Here is a 22,107-nt window from a genome sequence, read left to right on the forward strand (position 1 = left end):
CAACTAAAATTTAAAATAAAAATAGAGATCTCACCCAGGGGACTTTTAAGCTTCACTGAGGCAATGTGGTATGATTCTGGAGTGGAGTGAAAGCCTTTTCTGACCCAGATATCCTGTCATTAGTGTTCACAGCCAACACGGTCTCAGTTGTGCCTACCTGGCTTGCAGCATTGGGCTCTGCCCCCCGGCCTCTGTTATTTCGGGACCCTATCATCCCCATTGCTGGCAGCAAGCCCAGCGCTGTAACAGCATCTCCTGCCATCAGCCTGCCCTTTGGAATGCTGGGCGGCAACTCCAGGGCTTCTCTGTGATGCTGGTGCCCTCCTCACCAGGCCATGACTTAGCACGCCGGTAAACGGAGTATGCTCTGGGCCCTCCTAGGGAACACTGTGGGGGGTGGATTTTCTGGCCTCTATAGTCTAACCAGTTTGGCATGCCCACTGCTCTGGACATCCTGATTCCTTCCTTCACCATTTGCTGTGGCAGTTCTTCCAATTCTACCTCACTTAACGTGGGTCAATACTTTTCCAGGCCTCTAAGAGGCAACCTCTTAGAGGTTGTGATGTAGTAGTATGTTGGCGCCATCTCCCGGGGTCCTCGTCAGGGTGTAAATTCCGTACCGTAAAAGAAAGTTCTCCCTTTTCCAATTTGTATTTTGTTTCCTTTGGTTCAGCACCCTCAAGATCCAGTCCCGTACATATTCCCCCAGTTCCTGATGGTTCACATTGACCAGGCCTACAACTACTTTTTTTTCTTAGCAGGTTTGTTTTCTTAGCGGGCCCAGCACTTCTGTGGCTGGGTTATGTTCTAACTTGCCCTTAGCTTCGGGTCTGATGGCCAAGAGAGGAGGCAGAGCTGAATCCTGAGCAGAGCACGAGTTTTCTTGCAAGACACGATCCTCCACATGATCTTCAAATAAGCCGGAGGCTCTAGCCTCTAACAGAGAGGAGTGGATCACTTCTGCAGGCCCTCTTCCCCACTTATTACCGGCAGCCTTGCACTCACAGGAATGCCTTTCTTCACAGGCTTCCATTCCAAAGATCTTATTATCGAAACCGCAAATATGTCGCATACCAACGTCTGAGCCCTTTTAATTACTGTCATTGCCTCCTCCCTGACAGCTGTCTACAGCACCCGAATTATTTTCTTTGCACTGTTAGGACAACCTCACTTCACGGCTGTAATTGTCATCAACAAAAACAACCCCTTCCTAATCAATTCAATCAAATGCCTAACAATTGGTAGTATTTTTGCTGGATTTTTAATCTCCAACAATATTATTCCAATATCAGTTCCCCAAATGACTATGCTCCTTCACCTAAAACTCACAACCCTCAGCGTAACTATTTTAGGCTTCTCACTAGCAATAGAACTTAACCTTGTAACTAACAACCTCAAACTCAAGCACCCATCACAAATATTTAATTTCTCCAATATATTAGGATTTTACCCAATCACAATACACCACACAACACCACACTCAAATTTCCATGCAAGACAAAACCTAACCTCTCTTCTACTAGAACTGATTTGATTAGAAAAATCAACACCAAAAAATACTGCCCAGGTTCAAATGATAGCCTCCACCATTGTATCTAACCAGAAAGATCTAATTATGCTCTACTTTTTCTCCTTCCTTATCCCATCTCTCCTAACTCTATTCTTAATTATTTAACCCTATTCCCTCACATAATCTCAATCACAATAAAGATACTAACAGAGATCAACCAGCAACCACCACCCACCAACACCCATAACTGCACAAGGCAGCTACATCCATAGAATCCTCACAAAGTAATTCTATTTCCCCAACCTCAAAAGTCACCCAGTTTTCCATATTTTTAAAATCAGTTACAATTCCCACCTCATCATAATCAATTAACCACATAATTATCACCAACTCTAACAGCAACCCTAATAGTGAGGCATCCCAAATAACAACACTGACCCTCAGGTCTCAGGATACTCCTCAGTAGCCATTGCCATTGTATAACCAAAAACCACCATCATTCCCCCTAAATAAAATTTTAAAACTATTAAACCAGGCCAGGCACGTGGCCCATGCCTGTAATCCCAGCACTTAGGGAGGCTGAGGCGGGCGGATCATGAGGTCAGGAGTTCGAGACCAGCCTGACCAACATGGTGAAACCCTGTCTCTATTAAAAATACAAAAATTAGCCAGGCATGATGGCACGTGCCTGTAATCCCAGTTACTCGGGAGACTGAGGCAGGAAAATTGCTTGAACCCAGAGGGTGGAGGTTGCAGTGAGCTGAGATCGTGCCACTGCACTCCAGCCTGGGCAACAGAGCAAGACTCCATCACAAACAAAACAAAACAAAAAAACTATTAAACCTACAAAAGCCCCACCACAATTTAACATAGTACTGCAACCCACACCTCCACTAGTAATTAATCCCAAGCCTCCATAAATAGGAGAAGGCTTTGAAGAAAATCCCATAAAGCCTATAATAAGAATAATACTTAATAAGAATACAGTGTATGTCATAATTCTTACATGGGATATAACCATAACTAATGACATCAAAAATCATTGTTGTGCTTCAACTCTAAGAACTCTAATGACTAACATCCGAAAAACACATTCTCTATTATTAACCACTGTTTATTGAGCCACCTGCACAATCAAACATCTCGGCATGGTAAAATCTCAGCTTGCTTCTAGGTATCTGCCTGGTCCTTCAAATCATCACAGGGTTTTCTTAGCTATACACTACATGTCAGATACTCTGACCGCCTTCTCTTCAGTCACTCACTTCTGCTGAGATGTAAATTATTGCTGAATTATAATTATGCTACATGCTAATGAGGCTTCGATAGTCTGCATCTGCCTGTTTTTACATGTAGGCCGAGGCTTATACTACGGGTCATTTACTTTCCTAGAAACTTGGAATATTGGCAGTATTCTTCTATTTGCAGTTATAGCAACAGTATTAATAGGCTCCGTACTTTCATGAAGCCAAATATCATTCTGAGATGCAACAGTAATTACAAATCTACTGTTAGCCATCCCATATATTGGAACTGACCTTGTACAGTGAATCTGAGGTGGATTCTCATTGGATAAAGCCACTTTCACATAATTCTTCACTTTTCATTTAATCTTGCCTTTCATTATTACAGCCCTAGTAGCCATTCACCTGTTATTCCTACATGAAAAGGGATCTATTAACCCCTCAGGAATTTCATCAGATTCTGACAAAATCCCTTTTCACCCTTATTACACAATTAAAGATATTCTTTATTACACAATTAAATATATTACACAATTTATTACACAATTAAAGATATTCTTTATTACACAATTAAATATATTATTCTTATTACACAATTAAAGATATTAATTCTACTTCTCTTGCTCTTATCAATTCTGCTGACCTCCTAGGAGACCCTCACAACTACACCCCAGCAAACCCCCTCAGCACTCCACCCCACATCAAACCAGAGTGGTACTCTTTATTCGCCTACGCAATTCTACAGTCCATCCCAAACAAACTAGGGTTTTCTTGCAAGACAGGATCCTCCATATGACCTTCAAATAAGCCAGAGGCTCTAGCCTTTACCAGAGAGGAGTGGGTCACTTCTGCAGGCCCACAGGTCCAGCGGGACCTGATGATTCAAGATTTTTTAGTGCTTGGACCAAGTGTCCCCATCCAAAGTCTCAGAATCTTACTGCTTCCAAATCAGCACCCTGACCTACATATAGCAGAACTGGCTGGAGTTGAGAATTAAGAATTCAACAATTTCTGGAACTTTGCTATTCATATAAGTCCTTAGCTGTACGGCCCTTAGGCAACCGGAGATGAGATTCTATTTATATACAGCCAAGTTCTGGCTTCATACTTCCCCTCACATGGTTAAGTAACCAACCGAGGCAGTCATTGTCTTTCTCCAATGCATGCATAGCCTCCAACAACAGTCATCTAATTCCAAAATTCTTGTATTTACTTAATTTCCCCTGAAACTCTCAACCTCCTATATGTGTCACTTGCCAGCCTATCCCCTTCTACCAGTTTCGTGTCCCAGTTTGCCACCTGTAAACATGTGAACACTGGCACTGGCATGGATGCCTGGGGCAACTAGCGCTTCACCTATGATGGGGGCTAGCGCTCTACCAGTGATGGGGGCCTTATTACAGCCAGCCAGGTGCAGCAACAACATCCTATTTTAGAGTCAGTTCCTAGGACCACATCCAGTACCAGCTGTCACAGGTGGAGTTCACTGGGAAACACACTCTGAGACACCGAGATTTCTATACAGAAGTTATTGGAGAGTAATCGCAGAAATAGCACCTGTAAGTGTTGAAAGACAAAGAATTTGGCAGATAGAAAAGTCGAGCTGAGCCTCAGTGGGTCCATGGAGAGCTCTGGATCTGGGATGGCCCTTCTGAGATATTGCAAACTGAGGCATGGTGGACAAGTCTTGGTACCTCACAGGAACCAGTCATTGGATGTGCACGGTCCCTAGGGAGGGAGCTTAATCTTGGGCAGTGTCTTTCTTTGGCTAAAAGCAACACTGGGAAAGCAGCACAGGTGAGAGGTGCCAGGCAGCGGCTCCCCCAGCGGCTGGAGAATGAGCAGTGCCTCAGTCCTGGAGGGGAATCCGGGCAGCACCCACAGCATCCACAATGCCCTGCAGCACTGGGAGCAGCCCTCACCTTTCTGAGACTGTTTCTTGACCTGCAAAATAAGGGAACACAGTTGGTTCTTGAGCAGTGTGGCGGCTAGGGGGCACTCCCAAAAAACCTAAGAACCTATTGTTGACCAGAAGCCTTCCCACAGAAACAGTCGATTAACACATATTTTGTATGTGGTGGGTATTATATCCTGTATCTTTACAATAAAGTAAGCTAGAGAAAAGGAAATTATAAAGAAGAAAATATACATTTACGCTGGGCACGGTGGCTCACGTCTGTAATCCCAGCACTTTGGGAGGCCAAGGCGGGTGGATCGCCTGAGGTCAGGAGTTCGAGACCAGCCTGGCCAACATGGTGAAACCCCATCTCTACTAAACGTGCAAAAATTAGCCAGGTGTGGTAAGCGCCTGTAATCCCAGCTACTCGTGAGGCTGAGGCAGGAGAATCGCTTGAACCCGGGAAGCAGAAGTTGCAATGAGTTGAGATCATGGCACTGCACTCCAGCCTGGGCAACAGAGACTCTGTCTCAAAAAAAAAAAAAAAAAGAAAAAAATAGAAAATATATATTTACTATTCATTACATGGAAGTAGATCATCATAAAGGTCTTCATCTTCATCATCTTCACATTGAGTAGGCTGAGGAGGAGGAAGAGGAAGACGAGGAGTTGGTCTTGCTGTCTCGAGGTAGTAGAGGTGGAAGAGGTGGAGGAGGTGGAAGGGGAGGCAGGCGAGGCAGGCACACTCGGGGTAACATTTGTTGGAAAAAATCCGCACAGCCTAGGCAACAATGCAAAACCTCTCTATAAACGATAGAAAAATTAGCTGGGTGTGGTGGTGTGCACCTGTAGTCCCAGCTACTGGAGAGGTTGAGGCAGGAGGATCACTTCAACCCGGAAGGTCAAGGCTTCAGTAAGCCATGATCACGCCACTGCACACCAGCGAAGGTGACAAAGGGAGATCCTGTCTCAAAAAAAGAAAAGAGAAAAACTCCGTGTAAAAGTAGACCCACACAGTTCAAACTCATGTTGTTCAAGAGTCGACTGAAATAGCTACCTCAAAGATGTCCAAAAAAGCAAATGCAAAAACAAATGCAAGCAATTTGTGAACTGTTAACAAGGTTATTCTTCTCATCCTAAAGTCTGGAGCAATCTCATCACCATCTTTCTATTATGCCCCACACCCACTTCTCGTCTCAAGAAGTCAGTATTTTACTTTTCTACCAGGATTTAGCTTTACTGTCCACTTTACTGCTTCTCCAAAAAGTTGCAGTGATGATGTTGAGAAGTGACTAATTCATTAGGTATATCTTTATTTTTCACCATAAATTAATTTCTAAAATAGGCTCTATAATTACCAAAACTCTTCTAGTCTATAATTGGGGGTTCTATAAAACATAAAATTACAGGATTTATAGTTCTTTAAAATGGAAAAGTGCTCTCAAAAAATGTTACTAGTTCAAAGGAGATTCATAAATGAATCATGTAATTTTAAGCAATTCTCACTAGATGGAGCTAGTTACAAATAAATACTTTTTTAATATTTTTCTTCTTTATTTTTAATTTTTTATTTTTATTTATTTTTTATTTTTTGAGGAATTAACAGTCTTTATTGGGCTCAGATCAGGAGGCCGTGGGTCTTGAGGACCTCTGTGTATTTGTCAATTTTCTTCTCCACGTTCTTCTCGGCCTGTTTCCGTAGCCTCATGAGCTGTTTCTTCTTCCCGTAGTGGATCTTGGCTTTCTCTTTCCTCTTCTCCTCCAGGGTGGCTGTCCCTGCCTGGTACTTCCAGCCAAACTCGTGAGCCAGGCGCCCCAGATAGGCAAACTTTCTTGTAGGCTTCAGACGCACAACCTTGAGGGCAACAGGAACCACCATCCGCTTTTTCTTGTCGTAGGGCGGTGGGATGCCATCAAACACCTTGAGGCGGTCCAGAGCGGCCTGGCCTCGCTTGGTCTTGTGGGGCAGCATACCTCGCACGGTCCGCCAGAAGATGCGGCTGGGGGCCCGGAAGTGGTAGGAGCCTCGGTAAGAGTTGGTGTTCATCCGCTTGCGGAGGAAAGCGAGGTACTTCAACTTGTTTCTGTAGAAATTGCCAGAAATGTTGATGCCTTCGCAGCGTACGACCACCACCTTCCGGCCCAGCAGTACCTGTTTACCACGATGGCCGCCAGGCGGCCCAGGAGATGGCCTCGACCATCAAGCACCAGGACCTGCACCTCTGCCGTCTTCGCCAGCCGCTTGGGAAAGGCTTTTCTTCTCTTTAATACAGGAATATTTTAATTCCTTGTAAGGAAAATTTCCTGGATAATTCCATGTATTTTAATAATCACAGAGATAGTCTTATTCTTACTCATTCATTACCAAAAATAAAGACTTCAGTAACAATTTATACTCCATAGAGTATACGATCTCATCTATTTTGACATCCAAAAAAAAAAGGCAGAAAGACAAAACGCAAATTCTGAGGCAGAAATTAAGAAAATATAATTCTTATTTTTTATTTAATTTATTGTTTGTTCCGCTGTTTGAATGTTTATCTTCCAGGAGCCTACAGAAGTGAGGGAAAGTATCTGCAGGCTAATTTTAAATAACACGAGACAGAGATTAAACATTAAATATAAAAAAAAAACCTTTTAGCTTACTTATTAAACTAGGAAGAATTTTCCTTAAACACATCACTCAAATTGGTCTGCAATGCATCAATAAATGGAGAACATAGATCTCACCTAGGAAATATTTTATACATTGTGGACACTACAAAAAAGCTCATCAGAATATAAAAATTTTCAAGTCACAATCCCCTAAGCAGACTAAAAACAAGTTAGCGTTTAACCTGAAATCAGAAGTGCAAACTCTGTAAAAATAAAAATATTGCCATTGTTCTCAGCAATCTATGAATAAATCCTACAACTCCTTAAAGTCTTTTCAATAAAATGAACCATGATCTCTTGACAAACTCCTTGCTTAAATGGCAGGTAACTTTTGAAGCTGGACTTCTCAATCTGTCAAGAGAAGCAAGCTGCATTGGCAGCATTGCTCGCTTTTGAAAATCACCTTCTGAACAGAAGGTCCAGCAAAGACCTTCAATGCAACACTCCCTGTATATGTGCAAGTCTGCATGAGACGTCCTCCCGCAGGTGCAACTCCCAGCCAATGAACCAGAAACAGATGAAAGACAAAAGGGGAAAGTCGAGGTCAAATGTTTCAGTTTACCCATGCTATCCCAGATAAAATGCCAAGGGCTTTTGGAATAAAATGGACAATATGCAAAGATGAGGTGACCAGATGTCAATAATGTTGGGAATTTAAAATGCATGTACCACACATGAACACAATTCTTTAAATGCAGCTGCAGGAAGTTCCGTTTGGGGGTCATCCTCTTTGAAACTCCCTTCTGGGCAGTACTGCTTGTCATTTCTATCATCTGATACATCTATACTTCCAAATAATCCTAACTGATACTCAAAGTGATGCCTTGACACCCTCTGAGGTTCTACAGGCTCTTCCAAATCAAAGAGAGGTCACATCATGCATAGTATTATTTGGGGGTTAGCATACGTTTTATAATAATTATGTTAAAATTGGTAATCCCTTTTTGGGTTCAATGATAGCTCTATTAATTATATTGTCTTGTTAACTGAAATATTCCACTCTGTCAATGGGATTAATGGTTGGAGATTATGATACAACCAAAACCAAAGCTGGGCAATGGGCTCTTGGACTGGAATCACCCATTATGAACTATCCATCTGACCAACTCTTTAACTTTCTTCCTAAACGTCAGATCACCAGGGCGTTTCAGTGCAGCCTGCACAATTCAGAGAGTAGGGTCCAGATTAAAGACCTTACATTTTTGTAGAATTCAGAATCATTTTTCATTCAGCAAGCCCTCTATTTGCTCACTCTCTTCTACATGTAATTGTTCAACTTTGGTTGACTGTCGAGTCCTCATGGAAGAATTCCCATTCTGCCACTGAGCCTCTCTGTTAGGGACTTGAAAATGGAAGGTAGTGCAGTTCTTTCTGACCATCTGCCAGGCAAGGAGCCCCGGGCTTCTAGGGGTAAGTTCGTCCCTTTTCCCAAGTCTTTCACTTTGCACTCTTCATTCAGAGTTAAATGGCATAAAACTCGGATTTTCAAAGCCAGTTGATTTAATCTGAGACACATAAGACTAGGATCAAATAAGTGAAGTAAATGATTCAAATGCAATGACTTCTGTTGTTGCATTCTGTTGTTGCATAGAAGAATCTAAAATTCTTCTATGGCCTAATTTTCAGAAACTATTTTAGGACAAAAAAGAACCAAAAAAAAGTTCTACTAAAAAAAATAAAGAGACAGACTAGTAATTTGCTTGGTCAGAGCTTCTTTTTAAAAAAATAAAATAATATTAAGTCAAAGAGGAAAACAAATATAACATCAAACTATTTGCAAAATAATGAAAATTGGCTGGGGGCAGTGGCTTACTTTGGGAGGCTGAGGCAGGTGAATCACCTGAGACAAGAGTTCAAGACCGGCCTAGGCAACATAGTAGGACCTCATCTCTACAAAAAATACAAAAAATTCATGGGACATGGTGGTACACACCTGTAGTCCCAGCTACTAAAGAGGCTGAGGTGGAAAGACCACTTGAGCCTGGGAAGTTGAGGCTGCAGTGAGCAATGAGTATGCCACTGCAGTCCAGCCATGTCTCAAAAACATCACAATAATAATGAAAATGAGAACAATGCATAGAAAACTTAGTTTAGGGGTTGTACAAGCTACAGCGTAACTCATAACCTTAAATGTTTTTCTTCTTAGAAAAAATCTAACTCTTCAACTCAAAAAATTAGAATAGCTAAAACGAATCTAAGAAAAGAGAAAAGGAAAATAAATTTAAAGAAAATAAAAACAGTAAAAATGATAAACCCAATAGCAGATGTTTTGGGGGGGAATACAAATGAAATAAGCATCTTTCTGTCAAATTCATTCTACAATACACACACACACACACACACACACACACACACACACACACACGAAAAAAAAACCATAAGTAAAATAAGAAATCAGCAACAGTCTGGAAATTTTTAATGATAAAATAACAATTATTCGTATATGCAGATAAAACAGAAATCTCAGTAAACTAGATGATTAACATAAAGATATAATGGCCAAAATTGACTCAACAAGTTGAAAACCTAAAACTTATGGTGAAAGAAGAAAGTATTTAAGTTATCAAAGAAATATTTGTTAGACATTTCCCAGGCTCAGATAGTTTTACTGTTTAATTATTTTAAACTTTCCATAGCTAGACAAAAATACACAAAAATATGAAGACTAATTTATGGGCCAAATATTGTTTATGCAGCAGAACTCATCTACATCACATAATTCCCTCTTTCTTCCATTTATTCTTAGAAGTCTGCCTCTAACCTGCCTCTGATAGAACACTTGATTGGATTTTTCATTTCTTTGCCTCTTAGAATATTAAAATGTTTTTTTCTGGCCAGCTCCACAAAACTCTGATTTTGATGAAATTTTGCCTTCTCTCATATTTTTTAGTGACAGGCCACCCAACTCTTAAACATTTGATTGCATTCTGGAAAGCTCTGTGGCTCTGAGAGACCATGAGATCTCCTTCCTTACTTCCTTCCTTCTTTCCTTCCTTCCTTCCTTCCTTCTTTCCTTCCTTCCTTCCTTCTTTCTTTCTCTCTCTCTCCTTTCTTTCTTCTCTTTCTTTCCTTCTTTCTTTCTTTCCTTCCTTCCTTCCTTGCTTCCTTCTTTCTTTCTTTCTTTCTTTCTTTCTTTCTTTCTTTCTTTCTTTCTCTCTCTCTCTCTCTCTCTCTCTCTCTCTCTTTCTTTCTTTCTTTCTTTCTTTCTTTCTTTCTTTCTTTCTTTTTCTTTCCTGACAGAGTCTCATCCTATTGCCCAGGCTGGAGTGCAGTGGCCCAATCACAGCTCACTGCAGTCTCAACCTCCTGGGCTGAAACAATCCTCCCTCCTCAGCCTCCTGAGTAGCTGGGACTACAGGCATGCACCACACCCTGCTAATTTTTTTTGTATTTTTTTTAGAGATGGGGTTTTGCAATGTTGCCCAGGCTGAAAGATCATATTTCTTAAAGTCATTCTACTAACTAGTCCTTCCAGTTATTACAAATTATAAATCTGCAATAATTAAAATGGAGTCATATTGACAAGAATAGCTTTCAGTGAAATAGAATAGAGAGCACAGAAAGTCACAAGATTTTAAAACAACTCAACATATAATAATTACCAATCAACAGGAAAGAATGAAATTGTTCTATTTATTGCATAAATAGCATTGTAGAAATTGGCTTGCTATTTGGTGATAAAATAAATAATAAGTCGGGTATGGTGGTGCACGCTTGTATTCCCAGCTACTCGGTAGCTGAGGCAGGAGGATCGCTTGAGCCTAGGAATTCAAGGCTGTAGTGCACCATGATCACACCTGTGAATAGTCGCTGCAGTCTAGCCTAGACAATATAGTAAGACTCTGTCTCTAAAGATAAATAAATAAATCCCAGCCGAATTAGAGATCCAAATATAAAATAAAACCAAAAACTATATCATAAGCATTTATCTTCTCTTCAAATGAAAGCACGTTCCAAGCTTAAACACAAAAGAAGATACCATAATCCACTGAACTGCATAAAAATTTAAAACACCTACATATAATCATGACACCAAAAAGCAACAACCAATTGGAAAACAATATTTATAACAAACATGACAAATGATTAATGCCTTTTATATATAAACAGCTTATGCAAATCACTAAGAAAAACACTAAGACCCCAATAGAAAGTTGAGCAAATTATATGTAAAGAGGTTTCCCAGAAGAGGAAATATAAAAAGAAACATGAAAAAAAAATTAACCTCAATAGGAAACAAATAAAAGCAAAACTTTTAAATGGCAAAATGCCCTACTTTTTCTATGAAATTATAAAGGTTACAAATATAAATACTCAATGGTAATGAAGGTACAATACTATAAACATTCTCACATACTACTTTTTTTTCTTTCTTTCTTTCTTTTTTTGAGACAGGGTCTTGCTGTGTCACCCAGGCACAATCACAGCTAACTGCAGCCTTGACCTCCCACCTCAGCCTCCCAAGTAGCTAGGACTGTAGATGTGTGCCACCACGCCTGGCTAATTTTTTTATTTTTTGTATAGATGTGGCCTCACTATGTTGCCCAGGCTGGTCTTGAACTCCTGGGCTCTAGCAATCCTCTTCCCTTGGCTTCGCAAAGTGCTGGGATTACAGGCATGACTATAATAGACATACTTCTATAAGAGTTAATTAGTATAACATTTCTGGAAAGCCTTTTAACACTATCAAGCATGTTTAAATACTCTACCTTTTAACCCAGTTTATCTATGTATTACTAATATATTGCTACATAATAAAGAACCCTAATATTTAGCAATTTAAATATTTTAAAGAACCATAACATTTATTATCTCACATAGTTTCTACTAGACAGGAATCTGGGAGCATCTTGGCCTAGACGGTTCTGGCTCAGGGTTTTTCATGAGGTTTCATTCCACCTGGTGGCCAGGGCTTCGGCGGTCTGAAGGCTTAGCCAGGGCTGGAAGATCTACTCCCAAGGCAGCTCATTCACATAGTAGTTGGCGGAGGCCTCAGGTCCTCACCACATGGACCTCTCCAGAGGAATGCTGAAGTCTTCTGCCAGAACAAGTGAACCAGCACAGAGAGATCAAGGAGAAAGCCACAATGGCTGGCCGCAGAAATCACACTTCATCATTTTTGCAATATCATACTGGTATTACAAAAAAGCTCCGTTCAGTGGGAAGTGGGAATAGGGGTGGGCTCAGGTGGTGGTACTTACACAACAGCAGTAATAACAGAAAAGGGGACCATATTGTTAGAGGCTGGTCAACAGAATCTCTTTGTAGGAATCTAATTTAACCAAATAATCTGAAATGCAGATAAAACTTTATGCATTAAGATATTCATTATAATAATATTTGTAATAGTAATAATTTGTAAACAATACTCAGTAATGGAGCTGGTTAAGTAAATCATGGCACATCTCTCCAATATTCAATTGTATTCTATATTGCCTCTTATACAATCACATCAAAAATACATGTCATTTTCATATTTCCATATATACTTATATGTGTAGAAAAAGGATGAGAAGAAAATGGACTAAATATTAATGACTACTACCTCTGGGTGATGGAATAATTACTTATTATTTACTTTTCATGCTTTTCTCCATTTTTAAACTTTTCTAAAATAGGTGTATATTACATAGATAATTAGAAATAATTCTTTCAAGGAATTATAAATACCGTTGAGACATTGTGCCTATAGTCTAATGGTAAGAAGAAAGAAAACAACAGAAAAACTCACTGATCTTGGGAGAGTGTTACCAAAATTATTTCATTTTTCAGTCCAACAAATTGCAAAGTCATTGTGAAGAAGGTGTAACCTATTAATCTGTATGTATTATGTACACGAGTTAAAAAACAGAATGACAGTTGGGCGCGGTGGCTCATGCCTGTAATCCCAGCGCTTTGGGAGGCCAAGGCAGGTGGGTCACTCGAAGTTGGGAGTTCGAGACCAGCCTGGCCAACATGGCAAAACCCCGTTTCTACCAAAAACCACAAAAATTAGGTGGGTATATTGGCACATGCCTATAGGCCCAGCTATTCAAGAAGCCGAGCGTGAGAATCACTTGAACCCAAGAGGCAGAGGTTGCAGTGAGCCGAGATTGACCCACTGCACTGCTGCCTGGGCGACAGAACAAGACTCTGTCTCAGAAAAAAAAAAAACAGAATGACAACAGATATTTTCAGAGTATCTTGTAGTTTACAAAGCACATTCACATAGTTATTCGCTTGATAAATCAGAGTACTTCTGCAATTAACACTCTTGCCAGCTATTTATGTCACTCAAGATGTTTGAAAAATGCCTTTTGTGAATTGTAACTGAATGGAGCCAAATTCTTCTGGGGCATATGGCTGTACAACATTCACTGGGAAAGGCAACTAATTGCATGTGTGTACACCTCAGGGAAGAATTTGTTTAAGATAACTGAAATATGTTTGAGTTGAATCTTTTCCTACTCCAGCTAATGGTCATCACTTTAACTGTGTTCTTTCCAAAGCTTTATTAAACACGCTATGAAAATACTGAGCTTGAGCCTGCTGATGGGAAGCAAATAATCTCCCCCTTCTTTAAAGGCGCATTCATTCTTTCAGGTCAGTAGCATCACATTGCAAGATCCTGAAAATCAGTGCGCAGTTGAGTCAGAAAGCTTATAATTGAATTTGCTTAGCTAAGTATCTTAGCAACTCAGTTCACGTCAGCGGAACTTTGTTGAAGGGTATATTTTCATCATTTCTTGCCAGATTTTTAAAGCATGACATGTTGTGTTACTAAAACTAAGTAATTCTTCCAGGGGGAGGAAGCAGTAGTGTCTATTATATACCTTCCACTTTACTTATTTAAGAAAACATAAAAAGCCATTACCGGGAGAATAGAATGCATTGTTCTGAATCTAAATGACAAAGCAATCTTTGTTTGTTTGTTTGTTTGTTTGTTTTGAGACAGAGTTTTGCTCTTGTTGCCCAGGCTGGAGTGCAATGGCACGATCTGGGCTCACTGCAACCTCAGCTTCCTGGGTTCAAGCGATTCGCCGACCTCAGTACCTGGGATTACAGGCAGCTGCCACCACGCCCCGCTAATTTTTGTATTTTTAGTAGAGACGGGGTTTCACCATGTTGGCCAGGCTGGTCTTGAACTCCTGACGTCAGGTAATCCGCCCACCTTGGCCTCCCAAAGTGCTGGATTTATAGGCATGAGCCACTGCGCCCAGCCCAAAGCAATCTTTTAGAAGTTGTATAATCAAGAAAAAGAAGAAAATCGGGGGTTTTTTTTTAGGGATTCGGGGTATGCTTATGAGCACAGGAATAAAGGAAAAAGGCAGTAATCTAAGTTGCATATATAATGCCTATAAAACAAAAGGCACCGTTTGACAAGGTATCTGGCTGATATAATGGGAAAACCAAGAATTCAGGCTTCAAAGGAGGTTTTTTAATGCTTAAATGATGTGGTTTGTCTGATTTAATTATATAATCAGCAGCTTTCCCCCTTTATGTTAAAAAGTGACCAGGTACCACAGTATGGCCTAGAAAGCACTATCCATATACATCAGAATATGCCCGGCGGGGTTCCATTGGTGTGACCCTCTGACCAGCTGCCAACCTGCTGTCATGTGCTTCATATTTCTTTCAGACCATTGCGGTAGATGGCAAAGAATAAATGGCCACAAATTATTTGTAGCAATTTCCACCAGGATATGAACTCTACTTCCCCACCCCTTGAACCCAGACTGGCCTTGTGACTTGCTTTGGATAATGGGACATTAGCAAACGAGATGCAAGCAGAGGCCTGAAAAACATTTATGCAATGGGGCTTGTCCTCTCTTGCCCCTTTTGGAAATCAGCTGCCACGTGGGGCAGAGATTTTTCTTCCACTTCAATAACCCTTGACTTCAACCTTCCAGGTAAAACTATTGGTTTAATTTAAGCTTCTTTTTTTTTTTTTTTTTTTTTTTTTTTTTAAGAAACAGAGTCTTGCTCTGTCACCCAGTTCAGTGGTGCAATCCTGGCTCACTGCAGCCAGAACTCCTGGTCTCAAGCAATCCTCCCGCCCCCACCTATCCCATGTTGGGATTACAGGTGTGAGCCACTGCACCTGGCCAAATGTTGTTTTTGATAGCTATTTGGCAGATATTTATATTTACTTGACAAAGAACTAAGCAAGGAGATTGATGAAAGTCATGAAAATGAATACATTTCTGTCTATGTCTTGCAGGAAAATAAAGTCAAAAAGAAGGCATAACCTTATATATAATAGGGTCCTAACTTATAAATAGGTTATATTGTAACAGTTATCTGTAAGTCAGTTGTCTGGATCTTAGAACATGTATCCACACATCTATAACAGTATCTGGCACATAGCTGGTGCTCAAAAAATAGTTCTTGAATAAATGAATGAACAAATGGAAAGTGCAAATGGCTGTTATATTCCCTGACAACGAGAAGAAACTGAATATGCTTTGTGATGGTTAGTTTTATATGTCAGATTGGCGAAGTCATAGTACCCAGTTTATTCAATTAAACACAAAGCTAGGTGAAGGTATTCCATAGATATGGTTAACAGCTACACTTAATTGACTTTAAATAAAAGAGATAATCTTTCATAACTTAGGTGGGCTTCATCCAACCAGGTTTAAATTTTTTCTCAAAGTAAAAAATATTTTTAAAGGAGGGTAAATGGCTGGGCACAGTGGCTCACACCTGTAATCCTAGCACTTTGGGAGGCCAAGGCAGGAGGCTTGCTTGTGTCCGGGTGTTCAAGACCAGCCCAGGCAACATAATGAGACCCTGTCTCTATAAAAAATTAAAATATCAGCCAGGTGTGGTAGCATGTGCCTGTGGTCCCAGCTACTTGAGAGGCTGAGGCAGGAGGATCATTTGAGCCTTGGAGTTTAAGGGTGAAACAAGCCAGAATCGCACCATTGCACACCAGCCTGGGTGACACAGCAAGATCTTGTCTCTAAAAAGGTTTTTTAAAAGAAGGAGGGTAAATGGAGTGAAAGTGTTTAAAGCCCTCACATTGTCCAGAAACTGGTGACAATACTTACATTACAATTGTAATTAAGCAAGGATTTGTATTATAATCTCTGGGGTAACCATTAAAAGAGTAGTAAAACAATGAATAACAAGCTACTGGCAGGGACATGGGGGATAGAATAATTTTAAAAACTACTCCAAATAAAGGCAAGAAAAGTGAGGAAAAGTGAGCATACAAAACAGATGGGATAAAATAGAAACAAATAGTAAGATGGCAGACAAACCCAAATATGTCTGTTTACACTCAATGTAAACAGATTAATCAAATGAGAATAGTTGTCAGACTGGAATTTTAAATGATTCTATTTTGATACCGATAGTAAGACATTATTTGCCTTCTTCACTCTTGACAAGTGCACTCATGGTGGGGAAAGTAATGGTGGGATAAACTGCTGGCACCTTAGCCCAAGTCAAGGTGGTAGCACCAGATGTATTAATAACCATTTTACTTGTCAACACCAGAGACTCACACACACAAAAAAAGTCAATTTCACTTAAGACGGTCCTTGATGGGCCGGGCGCAGTAGCTCACGCCTGTAATCCCAGCACTTTAGGAGGCTGAGGCGGGCAGACGACTTGAGGCCAGGAGTACGAGACCAGTTTGGCCAACATAGTGAAACCCCACCTCTACTAAAGATACAAAAATTAGCCGGGTATAGTGGCACACTCCTGTGATCCCAGCTACTAGGGAGACTGAGGCAGGAGAATTGTTTGAACCCAGGAGGCGAAGGTTGCAGTGAGCTGAGATCGAATCACTGCACTCCAGCCTGGGCGACCGAGAAAGACTGTGTCTCAAAAAAAAAAAAAAAAAGTCCTTGATGAAGCATTAAACATTAATTTTATCAATCTCAAGTACAGTTATTTTTAGTACATAAAGAATTTCAGCAGTCTTCTCCTACTGCCCTGTCTTCATATACAAATTGCCTCTTGAGAATTCTAATAAATGGTCAATTCATTTTAGCCTGAATGGTACAAGGAACAGGGAAGGTATTCTTACAGTAGAGTTTAACGTGGGGTCACCTACCCCTACTGTCCTCTTAGTACCCTGATCAGCCTCTCGGTACCCCCAGAGAACAGATGCTTACTTCCATGCAAGGAAAATGGTGTCACCTTTGACCATGTTAGTTGTTAAAGGCAATTTTTCAACAACATTCTAATATCTTAGAAAATATTTGGCTAACAAAGCGGGATATTTCATAAAAGTTATAAATCAGATAATACTAAAGAGTTAGGAGTTCTGGCTGGGCACAGTTGCTCAGGCCTGTAATCCCAGCACATTGGGAGGTCGGGGTGGGAGGTCGAGAGTTCGAGACGAGCCTGACCAACATGGAGAAACCCCGTCTCTACTAAAAATACAAAATTAGCTGGGCATGGCGGTGAATGCCTGTAATCTCAGCCACTCAGGAGGCTGAGGCGGGAGAATCGCTTGAACTCGGGAGGCGGAGGTTGCAGTGAGTTGAGATCACACCATTGCACTACAGCCTGGGCAACAAGAGCAAAACTCCATCTCAAAAAAAAAAAAAAAAAAAAAAAAACAAAGAGTCAGGAGCTCTCCATGTTTAAGATAATCAAATCCACATTTTATGGTTGTATACATTTTATTTAACCACACAATGAGCACACAAAAATTAATAAACTACTATGGCTCACTCCACAATTTACACATTTACACATATACATATATTTTAACACACTCCCTAAATTTATTTTCAGAAAGTGTAATGTGTACCTCACCAATGCTAAGAATGGTGAAAAATGCAATTAGATTTACAACAACTGCCCTTGAGAAGCTTAGAGAGAGTGTTGTGCCTTTCCCGTACACTAAGAACTTTTGCTCTGTGACTAAGAAGGAAACTGAATAAGAATATGCCTCATCCTCTTTGCTTTTCTAGCCAAGATGCCTGGTGGCAAGGAAGAACCAGCATGTTATAGAAAAAGAGGAGCCGGGAGTGGTGGCTCACTCCTGTAATCCAAAGCACTTTGGTAGGCCGAGGCAGTGGGCCCCATGTCTACTAAAAATACAAAAATTATCTAGGCGGGGTGGCAGGCACCTACTCGGGAGGCTGAGGCAGGAGAATCACCTGAACCCAAGAGGTGGAGGTTGCAGTGAGCCAGGATCACCCTAGTGCACTCCAGCCTGGATGACAGAGCAAGAATCCGTCTCAAGAAAAAAAAAAAAATAGAGCCGAGAATAAAAGGGTTGACCCTCTGTTTAGACTGACATGATGTGAAAATGCCTGCCATGTTTAATATTAGTCACAAAGACTCAAAGAGCCAAAATATTATCCGATGGTCTCTAAGGTCATATTTTTGAAGAGAATAATTTCTGACGAAGTTGCATTTCTTAAATTCCAACTAGTTACCATTACCAGGGATGTTCAGGGTAAAAACCTGCTGACCAGCTTCTCTGGTAGATCTTATGCAAACAAAGTGTGTTCCACCATCAAAAAGAGACGGATTCAAATGCATACATTGATATCAAACAAGCAGTTTGCATTGTTTATATTGTGTCGGATTTGCCAAAAAGCACAAGGTTTCTAAAGCCTCTGAAGGCTGGTGTCATCCATCGGTATCCAGTAGGTGCTCCCAATTTGGAAAATGATGGGAATCATGTCACAGGAGGTATTTTTTAAATGACTTCTATAACTAGTCAATAAACTTGTCAATGACATAGAAAAATCTATTCAATCTACTTAACATGTTAGAAAAGTAAAAAGGCTGGGAAAGCCCAAGTTTGAAACCTTCTGAGGAATAAAAAGCATGCCTACTCTAGCAGAAGGAGATGGATTTAAGCTACCAACCCAAGAATTTTAAAAATGGAACTTTTAGGCTGGGCGCGGTGGCTCACGCCTGTAATCCCAGCACTTTGGGAGGCCAAAGTGGAATGATCACTTGAGCTCAGGAGTTTGAGACCAGCCTGGGCAACATAGCAAGACCTCATCTCTAGTAAAACTAAAAAAAAAAAAAATTAGCCAGGCGTGGTGGTGCGGGCCTGTAGTCCCAGCTACTTGGAGGGCTGAGGCGAGAGGATGGCTTGAGCCTGGGAGATCGAGGCTGCAGTGAGCCCTGATTGTGCCACTGCACTCCAGCCAGGGTGACAGAGCCAGACCTTGTCTCAAAAAAATAAATACTGACAAAGAAGAATTCTTATGGAGGGGTGTGTGTGTGTGAATGAGTGGTTAAGAGGATACGACATATAACACTGTTTAAATACTAAATAAAATTGTCCTCACAGAATGTACTATCTTCACATACACTTTCTCTTCTCTTCGTTTTCTTGTTTCTAATTTCTTTGCCAAATGCTAGCCAATATTTGTTTAAATTTTTCCTTCATAGATATACATCAACAATAAAACTTTTATTTAAAATTTTTAATCAGTATATACACAGTCTTACATTTATATGCCAGTAGAAAAGGATGGTGGAAGCCAAATCAGGAATAAATGAGAAAATAGCAGTGACCAAAAACAAAACCTCATTTTATAATAAAAAGCCGATCAGTCACATAATGCCAGTGATAGCAGTCACTGAAGCCTTACTGTGTGCCAGGCACCGTCCAGCATTTTCATGTGCTGTCACACTTGTGGCTTATGACACACCTAAGTGTGTCAGTTGGGTCCTCTGAAAGCAGATGGAGCTAGGAGTACAAGAGGTTAACCGTGGGACAGCACTGGTGAAAGATAAAAGTCAGAAAAAGCAAGGCTGGGCAGGGAAATTCTTCAGACCGTGCTGCAGATCTGACACCTATTAAAGGAAAGCGGGGAAGTGGGTTTGGGCAGGGAGAGTCTCAGACCGCGCTGCAGACCTGACAAAGCCTGGGCCAATCTGATCAGCAACTCTGGACAAGAGCTGGCCAGTAGAGGAGGCTCATCTTAGGCTGCAGTGCCCAAGCCCGGAAGCCACTGAGCTCAGTCACTAGCTGGGGGCTACCTTAGGAGATCAAGGTCTCACCTCCGAAGGTGAGACCTCGTTCCAAAGGTGCTAATGGCTGAAGGCATCTGCTGACTGCGCTCCTTAACGGCTGAACAGCGAGCCCTTTCTTGAAGGGAAATCTGAGTGCCGCTCCTCCATGGCTACCTCAGTAAGGGAGGCTTTATTATGATTCCCATTTTTCGGAAAGAAAAAGGGGGCACAAAAGTTATGTAAATTTCCCAAAGTCACACAGCTAGTAAAAAGCTAATAAATGTCTCCTATTTGCCTTGCAGCTGATAGTAAAAGTAACTTTTTTTTTCTTTTCTTTTTTTTTAAGATGGAGTTTCACTCTTATTTCCCAGGCTGGAGAGCAGTGGCACGATCTCAGCTCGCTGCAACCTCCGCCTCCTGGGTTCAAGTGATTCTCCTGCCTCAACCTCCCGAGTAGCTGGGATTACAGGCGCCCACCACCACGCCCAGTTAATTTTTGTATATTTAGTAGAGACGGAGTTTCACCCTGTTGGCCAGGCTGGTCTCAAACTCCTGATCTCAGGTGATTCGCCCACCTCGGCCTCCCAAAGTGTTGGGATTACAGGCGTAAGCCACCGCGCCCAGCCTCCCTAACACATTAGTGTATGGACTTCCACTCACTCCTCTCTAGTGTATTTTGGTTTTTTTCAAAAAATAGGATAATTCCTTAAATATTACCTTAGAACTGGTTTTTCTTCACTTGATATCATAAACATCTTTTCACATCAATAAGTTCATTTCTACAAATGTGTACATACAACTCTAGCACAATTTATTCAAGTAATACGCTACTGAACCCTTCAGTTTTTTCTCTTCCTTTTTTTCTATATGAGAAACAATTTAGTGAACATCCTTGTAGCTAAATCTTTGTTTGCAATATTCTGAGATAAAATGCATAAAACCCAAAATTTAACATTTTAACCACGTTCAAGTGTACAGTTCAGTGTTTTGTGTATACTCATAAGGTTGTACAAACATCACCACTAATTCCAGAACGTTGCCATCTCCCCATAAAGAAACTCCATACCTATTAGCAGTCGTTCCCAATTCCTCCCTACCCCCATTGCCTGGCAACCACTAATCTAGTTTCCGTCTCTATGGATTTGCCTATTCCGGACATTTCATATAAATGGGATCATATCACATTTGTTCTTTTGTGTCTGGCTTGTTTCACTTAGTATATAGTATTTCCAAGATGCATCCATGTTGTAGCATATATCAGTGCTTCATTCCTTTTTGGCTGAACTATTTTTTATGCCTGAATTAGTATTCCACTCTTTGGATGTACTACCACATTTTGTTTATCTATTCATCAGTTGATGGACATTGGGTTGTTTCTACCTTTTGGCTGTTGTGAATAGTGATGCTGTGAACATTTTTGGACGAGTTTTGATGTGGGCATATGTCTTCAGTTCTCTTGGGTATACAGCTAGAAGTGGAATTGCAGGTTCAATCTACGTTTAACATTTTGAGGAACCACCAAACTTTTCCACAGCAGCTGTGCCATTTTCCATTCCTACCAGCAATGCATTAGGGTTCTAATTTCCATCTGTGCCAATACTTATTTTCCTTTTCCTTATTATTATTGCCATTCAATTAGGTGTGGTTCTGATTTGCATTTCTTCAATAACTAATGAAGGTGAGCATCTTTTCATGTGCTTATTGGCCATTTATATATCTTCATTGAAGAAATGGCTATTTAAATCCTCTGCCCAACTTTTTTCTTTTCTTTTCTTTTTTTTGAGATGGAGTCTCGCTCTGTTGCCCAGGCTAGAGTGCAATGGTGCAATCTCAGCTCACTACAACCTCTGCCTCCTAGGTTCAAGCATTCTCCTGCC

General features: G+C 40.7%; 6 pseudogenes, besides 1 other annotated feature; 4 read left to right on the forward strand and 2 right to left on the reverse strand.

Moving 5' to 3' along the window:
- MTND5P43 (MT-ND5 pseudogene 43) lies at positions 971 to 1,669 on the forward strand (annotated as a pseudogene).
- Positions 1,681 to 2,043, forward strand: MTND6P26 (MT-ND6 pseudogene 26; annotated as a pseudogene).
- On the forward strand, positions 2,582 to 3,520 carry MTCYBP26 (MT-CYB pseudogene 26; annotated as a pseudogene).
- On the reverse strand, positions 6,244 to 6,902 carry RPL13AP22 (ribosomal protein L13a pseudogene 22; annotated as a pseudogene).
- Positions 6,690 to 7,229: an enhancer, noted in NCBI's record as "H3K4me1 hESC enhancer chr12:31405343-31405882 (GRCh37/hg19 assembly coordinates)". NCBI's record gives its function as "activates a minimal SCP1, AML or CMV promoter by ChIP-STARR-seq in naive H9 embryonic stem cells {active_cell/tissue: H9 hESC(naive)}" and the evidence as "EXISTENCE:reporter gene assay evidence [ECO:0000049][PMID:30033119]".
- Positions 8,642 to 8,726, reverse strand: MREGP1 (melanoregulin pseudogene 1; annotated as a pseudogene).
- On the forward strand, positions 18,495 to 19,066 carry LOC100419525 (ribosomal protein S3A pseudogene; annotated as a pseudogene).

This window comes from Homo sapiens, chromosome 12, assembly GCF_000001405.40.
Source record: "Homo sapiens chromosome 12, GRCh38.p14 Primary Assembly".
In the NCBI taxonomy this organism is placed as follows: domain Eukaryota; kingdom Metazoa; phylum Chordata; class Mammalia; order Primates; family Hominidae; genus Homo; species Homo sapiens.